At 41.5% G+C, this 12,955-nt stretch overlaps 1 protein-coding gene across 28 annotated transcripts in view; it reads right to left on the minus strand.

The window, feature by feature from the left end:
* The window catches only part of ABLIM1 (actin binding LIM protein 1), a 370,264-nt gene that overhangs the window by 245,425 nt on the left and 111,884 nt on the right, over positions 1 to 12,955 (minus strand). For 4 of the 28 annotated variants that reach the window (XM_047425243.1, XM_047425233.1, NM_001322882.2 and 1 more), the window contains exon 1: positions 7,756 to 8,469. The exons of 21 other annotated variants lie outside the window; for them this stretch is intronic. In XM_047425243.1, coding sequence (XP_047281199.1) covers positions 7,756 to 7,819 — 64 coding nt within the window. In that variant the 5' untranslated portion in view covers positions 7,820 to 8,469. Of the gene's footprint in view, positions 1 to 7,755; positions 8,470 to 12,955 lie in introns of those variants that run through there. 3 more of the 28 variants (NM_001322887.2, NM_001322883.2, NM_001003407.2) reach the window with 1 other exon arrangement.

The raw sequence follows: 12,955 nt of genomic DNA on the forward strand, positions 1-12,955 counted from the left end.
CCATGAGACTGGATTTATACGATTATGTTTCTTGGGGAAATGGTATTCCCAAGAAACTCGGGGGATTTCAGATTATTGTGTTCTCAAAACCCCTCAAGAATTCCTTTAAATTTTATTGCCAATCTCAGGCTTAATGACTAGGAATGGAGACTCCTAAGTCCTTTCACTGTGCGGTTTTATTTTAATCATATGTATATAAAATCAGTATGAAGCTTTTTTCTTTGAGATGGAGTCTCTGTCACCCAGGCTGGAGTGCAGTGGCATGATCTCGACTCACTGCAACGTCTACCTCCTGGGTTCAAGCGATTCTCCTGCCTCAGCCTCCTGAGTAGCTGGGAGTACAGGCGTGCACCAGCATGCCTGGCTAACTTTTGTATTTTTAGTACAGACGGGGTTTCTCCATGTTGGCCAGGCTGGTCCCAAACTCCTAACCTCAGGTGATCTGCCCTGCCTTGGCCTCCCAAAGTGCTGGGATTACAGGCATGAGCCACCGTGCCTGGCCAAGTTTATCTACCTCAAGAAAAATCCCTCTTACTTCTGAAAAGCCTGGTTCCCTCCCTCTGGGGGACCCTCCTGGAACCCCTGGCATGCTATGGTCCACTTGTTTGCCACTGCTGCTGGCCTATGAGCTCCACAAAGGGAAGACTCATAGCCACCTTTCTCATGACTGTATCCCCAGGTCCTAGCATGGTGACTGTCACATAGTAGGAGCTCAGTATATAATAGTGAAATGAATGAAATAAAACAATCCCCCTCACGCCCCTTCTTCTGTGTGTATTATGACATTGCTGTCAGGACAAAAAACCCAGAAATACCTGAGAAAAGTATAAAGCCTGAGAAAAATATTGATAGCATTAAGCCTCTTATCCAAGGAGCATTCTGCCTTCCCACCTTTCCTAAAGCTACACTCCAAACTCTTCTGTATCTGGGTTTAATCAGCAGAAATCTGGCTAACTGGCTAGGTATAGTGGCTCACGCCTGTAATCCCAGCCCTTTGGGAGGCCGAGGTGGGAGGATCACTTGAGGCCAGGTGTTTAAGACCATCCTGGCCAACATGGTAAAACCCCGTCTCTACCAAAAGATACAAAAAATGAGCCATGTGTGGTGGCATGCGCCTGTAATTCCACCTACTTGGGAGGCTGAAGCAGGAGAACCACTTGAACTTGGGAGGTGGAGGTTGCAGTGAGCCAAGATTGCGCCACTGCACTCCAGCCTGGGCAACAGCCAGACTCTGCCTCAAAAAAATAAAAATAAAAAAGAAATCATCTAACTACAGGTTCCCAACTACAAGCTGACTGTAATTGAGTAAACTGGTATTAAAGATTTCTAGCAAAAAACTGTTCATTTTGTAACAGTATTCCAGGCTTCATTCTATCTCCAAACATGGAGAGGAAACACATGAAAGTTGGTGAGTAAAATCTAGGTGAAATACAACTGACAATAGAAAAATACTCACTTGAATTTGCATGGTTTCCTGATGGTTAAAAATCAACCATTCTTTTTTAATTCCTTTAGTTCCTTTACACACATCTAGGTCATATCAATCAAATAAATGTTTTAAAGTGGCATAAAATCAAATCACTTTAATTAGGTATTTCTTTCATTTTATTTCTAATCCTTTTTTTTTTCCTCATTCTCCAGCTAAGCAAAAACATGAACGTTCTTAGCAAACAGGTTTTCAAACAGGGTTTTAGAGCAGAAATAATTAGTACCAAGTAATATTTTGAAAGAATGATGAGTTTTCATTATTGTTTTCATTCTGACTGAACTAACTACATTAACCTGTTGGCAAATTTATTGAACAATCATATAATTGTTTTCTGACTTCATTTCTAAAGCATGTCTCGTTAAGCTAAACTAATCTTTATCGCCTTTGAAACCACGGATTCTTTTTCAAGAAGTCTTCCACAGCTGACTCTTTCTTATTTCTTTCAGTAGTCTAGGGCAGTGGTCTGTAAACTAATGCCTGCTGCCTGTGTTTGTAAATGAAGTTCTGTTGAAAGCAGCCATGTCCATTTATTTATGTATTGTCTACGGCTGCTTTTGTGCTACAATCTCAGACTTGAGTAGTTGCAGCAGAGACCATTTGGCTCACAAAGACTCAAATATTTACTATTGTGCCCTTCACAGAAAAAGTATGCTTTAGGCTAATCACACAAAGCATTCAAATCTTGTATTTCTTAGCTGTTTGCTCTATAAACATCTTATTCATTGGTTTCATCTGTGTACCATTTCCTTGAGTTTGTTAGAAAGTTCCCTAGGGTTAGATTGTCTTTTTATTTTCTTTTTTAAACCAAGAATAAAGTATTTCAGGTTAACTGAGCATAATAATTTTATTTCACTGAGTCTCAGTGCATGTCTATTCATGCCAATACCACTGGTACTGCATAGAAGCTATGGTGGATTATATCATTGGCTGAATTTATCACCCCTCCTTATATCCATGCCCTTTGCCATGTAACTTTGAATGCCCTCTCACTTTGAGACTGGAATTGATGATGTGACTCATCTGGCTTATAGAATAAAGAAGTGACAGTGTGCCAGTTATGAACTTAGCCGTCAAGAGGTCACGCATATTTCTACATGCTGTCTTGCCCTTCTGTGTCAGCATGATGAAAAAGAAAGAAAGAAGGAAAGAAAGAAAGAGAAAGAAAGCAGCATGACACCAACCATATGTCTCATCAAACCTAAAATCTTACTATCTGGCTCTTTACAGAAAAAGTGTGCTGCCTGCTCTTCTGAGGGCTTGCCAGACCCCTGTTGTTTGCTATTAATTTTCTCCCCACCAAACAGGCCAAGTTAGAAATATCTTAAACCTTGCCGGGAGTGGTGGCTCATGTCTGTAATCCCAGCACTCTGGGAGGCCTAGGCGGGTGGATCACCTGAGGTCGGGAGTTTGAGACCAGCCTGACCAACATGGAGAAACCTTGTCTCTACTAAAAATTACAAAATTAGCCGGGCGTGGTGGCGTGTGCCTGTGGTCCCAGCTACTCAGGAGGCTGAGGCAGGAGAATTGCTGGAACCCTGGAGGTGGAGGTTGCAGTGAGCCGAGATCCTGCCATTGCACTCCAGCCTGGGTAACAAGAACAAAACTCCGTCTCAAAAAAAAAAAAAAAAAAGAAATATCTTAAACCTTTTAATAAATTGCATGTTTATTCAACCATGAAACATAAAAATGCAAAATGTCTCATTGGGAAATGCCACATTCTGGAACAGAAATGCCCCAGTTTTCGTCATCCTAAGAAGTCAGGCCAGAAAAACTCTATACTCTTTGGCTCTCTCATTCCTTTGTCTCCCATTCATGCGAGAAGACACTATCTGCCTTTTAAAACTAGGAATATGGATTACTTTGATGAAAATAAAATAGATAAATAAAACAGCTAATAGTTGTTATCCCCTAATTTTGGGCAGCGGTCAAAGGGAGCTTTTGCCTCTCATGTAGTGTTTGAAATTTTTACAATGAAAGCCTATTCTTACATGATTTTTATAATTAAAAATAAGCAAAACACACAGACATAAAACTAAAATAAAATTACCAAACTAGAATCAAGGCCTTGGATTCATAGCACTGTTCAACGTTATAAATAATTTGCAAGAATCTGAATCTCCCAGATGGAACTCTAATTGCCAATTATATAACCCATTCATTATTACGCGGGAGGCACTGTGCCATGAGTCTTATAGATATTCTCACTTCATCCTCACAATCTTATAAAGCAGACAGTATTGTTATCTCTATTTTACAGATGTGGAAACTGAGGCTTAGAGAAGTTGAGAAATTTGGCCAAGATTACACAGCTAGTAGGTGTCCAAGCTGCCATCTGACCAAATCTCTCTGCTTCTAGAGCTCAAGCACTTCACCAGTGCATCATGCTCAAAAGGAGCATGCTTTCCTTCTACAAGTCCATAGTTATGCATTTATATTTGTTAAAATCACTTTGAAATTTACCAAAGAACAATCATGTTAGCAAGGGGAAAATAAATCCCCAATCCTCTGTGGCTCTGGCAGTGTGGAAGGGGCAGAAATGGTTTCTGAGGACAAGAGGCACCCTTCCTTCATACTGGAGCCATGGTGACCCATGCTCAGATCTGCCCCTTCTAACCAGCGAGGTCATCTATATCCCGAAGGATCCCCCGGGCCTTCCCTAGCCAGCTTTCTAACATCTTTAGATGATGACATCCTCTCACATCATTTATCCCAACACTTGCATTCTCCACTCTTGCTCAGGTCATTACATAATGTCTCATGTTGGTTAGTTGCCCATATATGCCAGTGGACCTTCCAGGATTATCATTCTAAATGACAGAGATTTATTCTGAACAGTCCCTAGCATGGTGCCTGCCACCTGTTGAAAAGTGCTTGTAAATTAATTACAGCAGAATGTTACTTAACAGCTCCAATGCCAAGTATAGGGATGGCTCTATGACTCACCAGGAGACCCTCCCTGATGAAGCTACCAATTAGAGACAGACTATTACAGTGACAGTCACTCTAAATGTAAAAAAATAAAGATGTGGGTGGGGCCAAGAGCCACAATCAGTGAAGTGGCTGATTAATCCATGAATCTGCAGGTACATTTAGCTAGTCATACAACCAGCATTACCTTATATATGGAAAATGGGGCTACCAGACCATTTTAGCCATTTTATATATTTTTTATTTTAATTTTTATATTGAGAGAGAGAGTTTTGCTCTTTTTGCCCAGGCTTGAGTGCAGTGGCACGATCTCAGCTCAACGCAACCTCCGCCTCTTGGGTTCAAGTGATTCTCCTGCCTCAGCCTCCTGAGTAGCTGGGATTACAGGCGTGTGTCACCATGCCTGGCTAATTTTGTATTTTTAGTAGAAATGAGGTTTCACCACGTTGGCCAGTCTGGTCTCGAACTTCTGACCTCAAGTGATCTGCCCGCCTCAGCCTCCCAAAGTGCTGGGATTATAGGCATGAGCCATCACGCCTGGCCTAAACCATTTAAAAATAGTCACCAGGGATGTGCTTCCCACAAAATAATGCCACCCCATGAACATGCTGGCATTTTCCCAAGAGCACTGTGTATACTACATCCCCTTCTAACTCTCTACGCCACTTCAATTCACATGACAGCAGGACATATGTTTCCCAGGCAAAATATTACAAAGAAGAGTGATAGCAGGCTTGGGGAGTTCCTGTTCCAGGAAGATATTCAAGGTACCCTGGTGTGGTCACAAGCCTGGGGAGCCTATGACTCAGACAGAAGCTCCTAAGACTCAGTCTATTGCTGACTGTTTTATGGAAATCCAGTGCCCAATTCTCCGAGCATGCTGCCTGCTCCCACTCCTGGGGCACGTTCCTGGCAATGTCATGCTCTGATTGACCCACTGGTCACCGACTGTGGCAGCGCTCATTTGCAGTGGCAGCTGTGACTGCCTTTGGAAGCAGGAAAACCTGTCTGGCATTTCCATTCTCTCATATGAAACCTAAAAGTAGTGCTAATCGGCACGATGCATTTTCCCTCTTTTTGGAAATGAATGACATTTAGTGATAAGTCTTGTAAAATCCCAATATTCTGAATTGCTATCCTGGCTACCACCCCAATATTTAAACTATGTTAACGATGGAGACATACATGTCAGCAGTCAGATTTTAATATAAAATTAACGGCTGACTATCTCAAAGTCCTAAATTACTATTAATTGTAAACAAACACTAGCTCTAAGTATATCCTTTAGAGCAGAAGGTTGTAAGTCACTGTATCAAAGTCTTAAATCAGCAGCCACCTAACTAGCTAATGCTTTCAAGCTGTGCCAGGAGAGAAAGGACAGGATGATCTTCTCTTACTAAAGAGAGATGGATGAACAGCTGCAAGCTTTGCTGTTGTTTTAAAACATCCGGGAACCAGCTACTGAGAATAATAAATAAAATGTAAGCAGGGTCAGACTTATTTATTACATATCCTTTCAAAATATCCTTTTGTTTAAAAAAAGCTAATTAAAAGTATTGCCCATATTCCCTATAGAGAGTACATTTAAAACAATGCAGAGTAGCAAAACCCCTTATGTTCCAAACATAAGGTGTGCCTGTTTTTAAGTCTTGGAATAATTTGCCAACTTCCAATTTAATTATGACTGAGCTTCAAGTCAACTGCTGAGTGTTCTAGAGATACGGTTTCTGTAGATTCCAGCTGGTAGCAAGTGGAAAGACTCCAAATACCTTAAAAATATGCCACGGAGTAGAAGGGAGGAGAGTAGTTAAAAAACAAGGAAGAGAAAGAACGTTGTTCTTTCTGGCTTGACCACTAAAAATATAATTAGATGTATCACTTACTCTGTTTACTTACAGTCTCTCTGCGTGTAAGATTTCTTCCAAAACCTGCCCTATCTTTCTGGAAAGCCAAACTAAAATCCACTCTTTGTACAGTACAAGAAAAACAGAGGACTTTAAATTCATTTAAATAAAGACATCTAGACATCTTGAGATATTCTAATTTTATCACTAGGACCCCATTCAGTTGGAAAAGACATAGCATCATAGTTTTCCACTCTAAATGTATCAGGAATACACGAATGCATTCTAATTAATATGCATAGTGTCCTTATTAAAATTCAAATTCTATATTTGAGGAAAGTCCAGAATGTCAAAGAATCTTGTGTAAACCTGAGGTGACGTTATCCTTTAGAAAGAACAGGGGAGGGCTGTTCTTGGCTGACCACCCACGTGGGGCCATCGTCCACTTTAAGTTTTCCTATTCTAATGTTTGTCAACTTTCGTCTTTCCAGTAAACGTCCAAGGCAGGTCAGTGAGGAATAGGAAACCACATTACTGGACTTTTAAATCAGCATAGTCTTTCAAAATCATGCTCATTTACAGGAGAAAACTGTGTGGCATAAAAAGCCACCATGAATTATTCATCAGTTACAGCGTGTGCCAACCTCAGATTCCTTTGTACCTCGTAACAAGTGTATACATGTGAAGTGTAGCAGACCCGGCTCCCCAGTCCTACCAGTCCTGGGTACAAAGGCAAACCCAAGCTCACCGGAGGTCCTGCGAAACAGAGAAGAGTGGCGAGATTGGAAGTGAAGGAGGGAGGGGGCCCAGCCTACCTGCCGTATCTGGAATTACCCACGAGTCTACTCTCCAGGAACCAAAATAAGTTACACTCTCTTATCTTAAGGGGTCCAGTATCAAAGGAATCAGCAACCGATCGCCACAGTCCCTAGGTTTCAATGGAGCAGCCTGTGAGACTGCGTGGGGCCACCCTCTGCAGTTCTGTTGGACGTGGTGTTGGCTGTCGGCCCCTGGGGATGCTGAGCAGGACCAGCCGGGGCACTCCTGAAGCCAGCCAGCCTCACCACGGAACAAACTCTCCCATCAAACACAACTGTAGGGAAAGCATCCTAGAGATGACATCCAAACTCAAACAAAATGCCCAGAAATAGGATCACAGGTGTTTGCCCACAGTCACTGAAGATGCCTTTTAATGTGCCCAAAGGACCAACCTACTGTTGGTTGAGTTGAGCTGGGCTACTGCTACAAAAGAGTCATGTCGATTTTAACATCCTGTTATATTAAGAATATATGTAAATATGTTGACAAATAAGATGTGCATTTTATACAGATATGTACTATCACAGAAATAGATTGTAAAACAATCTTTTACTTATTATCATAAGTGTAAAACAATTTTATCAAATGGAAAAGCCCTGCATCTTTCCTCATCTTTAAAGACACGGTCGACCCCAGACAGAATATATGCTGACTTTACAAAATGGACGGTCTAACCTTTGTAGTCTCCCATGGTGTGATGAGGGTCCGTGAGCTCAGTCATTTCCAAGGTCATTAACATGCACAAAGCTCCAGGGTTTCAGCTTTTCTTCACTAGGCATCTGGCACACAGAAAGGCTGCAACACTCCTCAAAGGAGAGGCTGGGGCCCTGGCTCTCCTCCCAGGAGTCTGTGGGCTGAACTGGACCCGAGGGAGGGGTGTGCCACCGGTGGGTGTGCCACAGCCAGCGCAGGAAGAATGAGGAGTTTCCTGAGTGACTCTGGCTCCTTCCTCATGTACAGATTCTGCATCCCCTTCTTCTCTCGACCCTGCCCCTACCACTTCTAAAGAGACCCCTTGCAAAAGCACATCAGCTCAATGACGCCACACCCACTGAAAACACTCGTTTCTGGGAAGCCACTATTAGAACACGCCAAGAATGTTCCTAGGATTTTCCTGCATTCTGCACAATCCAGAATCCAGATTTTGATCACTATCATTTCACAATAACTGAAACACATGAAATAAAGAAAGAAAAGGATCGATTATTCCCCAGCCTTCTGCCTCCTCTTTTTCCTTAATGAATTACTATCTCAACCAGATGGGCTTTTAATTATTTTCTTCACTACTAGAATTTTTAAAAAATGCTATAACTTGGAGAGGCTTCTTTTACTAACAGCCTGATTATTCATTATGGCTTTGGAAACAGTTCCCTGACAAACTCCTGGTATGAGACGAGCCGTGGACTTTGAGCCTTTTTATATTAGGTATACAAGCTGTCTGAAAACAATGACCTCATCCGGAAAGACTCAGGAAAGAGGCATTTTTTTCCTTTCGTCAGTAATGCCCTGATGTTGGGCTGGATTATCCACCACCCACAATCCAACTTTTCTCACAGTTATTTTTGAACACCGGGAATTTTGCATATTGGAAAAGTTATGAAGACAGTTTAAATGGAAAAAGACCCTTAGGACAAATATCCTTGGCATCAGATACACACATTGGCTAAGAAATAGGAGGAAACTGGCATAATTGCTTTAAATGTGAGGGTAAAACATTTAATTCCTCCAATAAAGATGTAACCAGCAGCACCCGTTGTGAGATATTAATTTAATGTAAGGCCTATAATCAATCCACTGGAAAACAAGACTATTTGAAACACATTGGCCAAATGCAAAGTTTGATTAATTGAAGAGTCCTGGCTTACTCTCTTCCCCAGCTAAGTGGCTTTTTTATTTTGTTTTGAAATGACTCGGGTAGACAGCCATCCTCATGGGTCACCCTATGTGCCCTTCCCCTGGTCCAGGCTACTGCCTGGAACTTGGTGCCTCTGATAACGTCCTCCTGACTTGGCTGTAGCACCAGGCGCCAGACAAAGAATCACAACTGGATTGCTCGTTGATAAAATGCTTGCCATTTGCAGAGCTGTCATGTGTCAGCTGCTGCCAAAGGCCAGTCGCATCAACTGAAATCTTCTGATTACACCTAATGCCTTGCATTCTCATGATAGTGATTCCATATTTTAGCCTAATGTGTTTTTTGTTAGTGTCTTGGGATTTTTACCATAAGGATGGAAGTCTTTCATCGTTGCATTCTTTATTCTTGTTAGCCTGCATTTAAAATGTAATGGAGGCTAGTTTTTCCTACTCCTTTAAATCTCGAAGTATTATTCCTACTTGATATTAAATGAGAGAAGAAACCAAGTACAGAGCTACAGCTATTTTCAGGGGCTAAAATAGGGTGCTAGTTTAAAAATAACCTGCATTGCATTGGTTCCTTGCCTTTTACAAGGCAGGACAGGGGCAAAGTGGGGGAGCAGGCAATCCAATATTGAAACTTTGATTTTTTTGAATGTTAAGCAATAAAGTGATTCTTTCCTAATCATAGTCCTCCAAATTTGACTTGTGTTAGTTGAACCACAATTTGGTTGATGATTTATTATAGTCAAGAAACTGGCCAGGTGTGGTGACTCATGCCTGTAATCCCAGCAGTTTGGGAGGCCGAGATGGGAGGATAGTTTGAGCTCTGGAATTTCAGACCAGCCTGGAAAGTATTGCAGGACCTTGTCTCTACTAAAAATTAAAAAAAAAATTAGGCAGGCATGGCGGCCTGCACCTATAGTCCTAGCTACTCAGGAGGCTGAGGCAGGAGGATTGCTTGAGCCCAGAAGATTGGGGCTGCAGTGAGCCATGATCACACCACTGCATGCCATCCTGGGTGACAGGGTGAGACCCCGTCTCAAAAAAAAAAACAAAAACAAAAGAGGTGAAACCAACTGCCTAGAAACTTGTTTAAAATGCACAATTTTCTTTCTCTCTTCCTTCCTCTTTTCCTTTCTCCCTTCCTTCTTCTCTCTTTATCTCTCTTTCTTTCTGAGATAGAGTCTCACTCTGTCACCTAGGCTGGATTGCATTGGCACAATCACAGCTCACTGCAGCTTTGACCTCCTAGGTTCAAGTGATTCTCCTGCTTCAGCCTCCCGAGTAGCTGGGACTACAGGCATGTGCCACCATGCCCGGCTATTTTTTTTTTTTAATAGAGACAGAGTCTCCCTATATTGCCCAGGCTGGTCTCAAACTCCCAGACTCAAATAATCCTCTCGCCTCAGCCTCCCAAAGTGCTGCGATTACAGGCATGAGCCACAGTGCCCGGCCTCAAACAACCACTTTCTAATTAAATAGCAATGGAGCTTATACCATGTCATTTTGAAATCAGAGACACGGTTGTGTGTTCCTTATCTTAAAAACACAGAGCAGAAATCTTTCCCAACCACGCTTCTAGAACCCTTCACAGGAAAGTGACCGTCACTTAGCAAAACAAATACAAATGCTTAAAATTGCATCTTCACCTGTATTTGAGAAATGCTTAATTAAATATTGTTAAACAGTTTTCTTAACCATGGACTTACTATGTATTAATATGCAAGTGTGCCTGTAACTAAGAGATAAATAAGATAAGAAGCATTTCCTGAATTTATTCAACCAGAGAACCCCCAACCCAGTACAACTATGAACTTTTCACAAAACAGAGCTTGGAAAACATTTCTCTGAGGAAGGAGAGGGCTAGAAAGGGTTTTAGAGATAATTTCCATCACAGTTTCAAAGATAAGAAGTTTCAAAGCCAAAAATTTAGGGACTTGCCCAAGGCCAGCAGAGGATATATAAGGAGAACAATTCTCTTCTGCCTTGCAACATTTTGAATGGCTACAATAGGCCAACATGTTTGGCTCTGTTTGCAATTAAGGTATGACCGATAGTGATGCTGTCGTACCCTGGTAACACAGATGCTGCTGTGTTCTTAGGCAAACAGGATACCTTACAACAGATTATGTTAAAAGACCTCGCCTAGGCCTGCTTTGCAATTACAGAATAGGAGACAAAGCTTACCACCATGTAATTTATGACAGGGCTGAGAGTGAAAAATAGCAGATATCAGTAACAAAACATTCAGAGGGCCTTGGCCTCATCTTTTAAACTAAGCAGAAGAGACAGAAACTTGAAGCAAATTGAATTCCACATGAAAAATGATTCCTTTGGGAAAGATAAAAACTAAATTTCTTAAAAGGTCAGATTCAATAAGGAAGAAGAAACTTCTAGACTTTATCTAGAAAGGCACAGGAAAAAAGTAATGATTTGGCATTTTCCCTGAACTTGTCTTCCAATTATATTCAATTATAAGCCCAAATCATTGGTCCCATCCCAAGCTCAGCTATACAACTTTGTTGGAGAGCAGTTTCCAGAACTATTAGGTTGGGGCAAAAGTCATTGTGGTTTTTGCCGTTGAAAGTAATGGCAAAAAATGCAGTGACTTTTGTCCCAACCTAATAAAAGGAGTGTGCAGTTCACCACACACTTAAACAGAAAGCTTAACCTAGAAATGGTCCTTATAGCACACAACTACGTCCTCCGTGCTAATATTCATTCCAATTTCTGCTTATAATTTCCAGGTGGGTCCCATGAAATTATTTTTGTGACTGGAAATGAAACTTCATGAGCTTTTCTGTTATCAACCCCTATTACATACGGTCCCTAAGTGCATTCCGCTTCTAATTATTCTTTTTATATGAAAAAACTCATGTAATCAAGAAACGTCTAGACTTTATCTAGAAAGGCACAGGAAAAAAGTAATGTTTGTCATTTTCCTGAACTTGTACGCCAATCATATTCAATTATAAGCCCAAATCATTGGTCCTATAAACTTCATAAACTGCAAAGCTTCATAAACTGCAAAGACAATGGCCTCATTATTGTTCATAGCTCACATTGACCGAGGGCTCACTCTCTGTAGGCATTGAACAAAGATTCCCTCATTGATTTCTTATAACCCTCTAGGACAGGGACCATCATCGTCTCCATTTTAAAGATGAGGCAATTAAAGAAAAGTTGAGAAGTTAAAGAAATTGCCCAAAGTCACTCCGCTAACAAGGAGTACAGTTGGGATTTGGACATAAGCAGCTAGAATCAGAGACTGTGCCCAGGATGCTAAAACTATTCTCAAGAATATTAAAACAGCTCTGGATGAATCAGTAATCAGAGAAGATGCCAAAGCCATTTTCATGCCTGAAGTAATGGTAGGGTGATATAAAAGACAAGTTCAGCAGTCCAAAAATTTAGCGTATACCCAAAGGCTGTTTATGCTTTTTCCAAAAAGTCTGAATACTCAAAGACTGTATGTGTGCAGGGAGGGGTTCTTATTATTGACGTCAGAAGAATCATTTTTCTGAGTCACATTCTGCTTTCAAGAGATTTTCCTGAATTAATCTCTTTCACAAAGACGGCTGATGGGTAGTCCCTGTCTCTACGGAGGCTGCAGAGAGGGAGGCCATCGTAGCAGGCTGCTTCTCTCACCTCATGGCTACTGTACAGGGCAGTTTATCAAGTTCAGGCAGAAATTGCCATCCAGCATGTGCCAGACCAGGAAGAGGCAGAAGACCCAGCTTCGTGTCCTGGTCCTATCATCAGCTCACCAATGATCCTAGGCAAATCACCTGTCTTCCAAATCTGTAAAATGGGCCAATAATACCCATCCTATCTACCTTAGAATAAATGAAGATGACAGAGTTCACCCACCATTTTTGTTTTTTGTATATTGGTTTTTTTTTTTTTTTTTGACAGAGTCTTACTCTGTTGCCCAGGCTGGAGTGCAGTGGCTCGATCTCGGCTCACTGCAACCTCCACCTCCCGGGTTCAAGCCATTCTCATGCCTCAGCCTCCCGAG

Source organism: Homo sapiens, chromosome 10 (assembly GCF_000001405.40).
Source record: "Homo sapiens chromosome 10, GRCh38.p14 Primary Assembly".
Classification (NCBI taxonomy): Eukaryota; Metazoa; Chordata; class Mammalia; order Primates; family Hominidae; genus Homo; species Homo sapiens.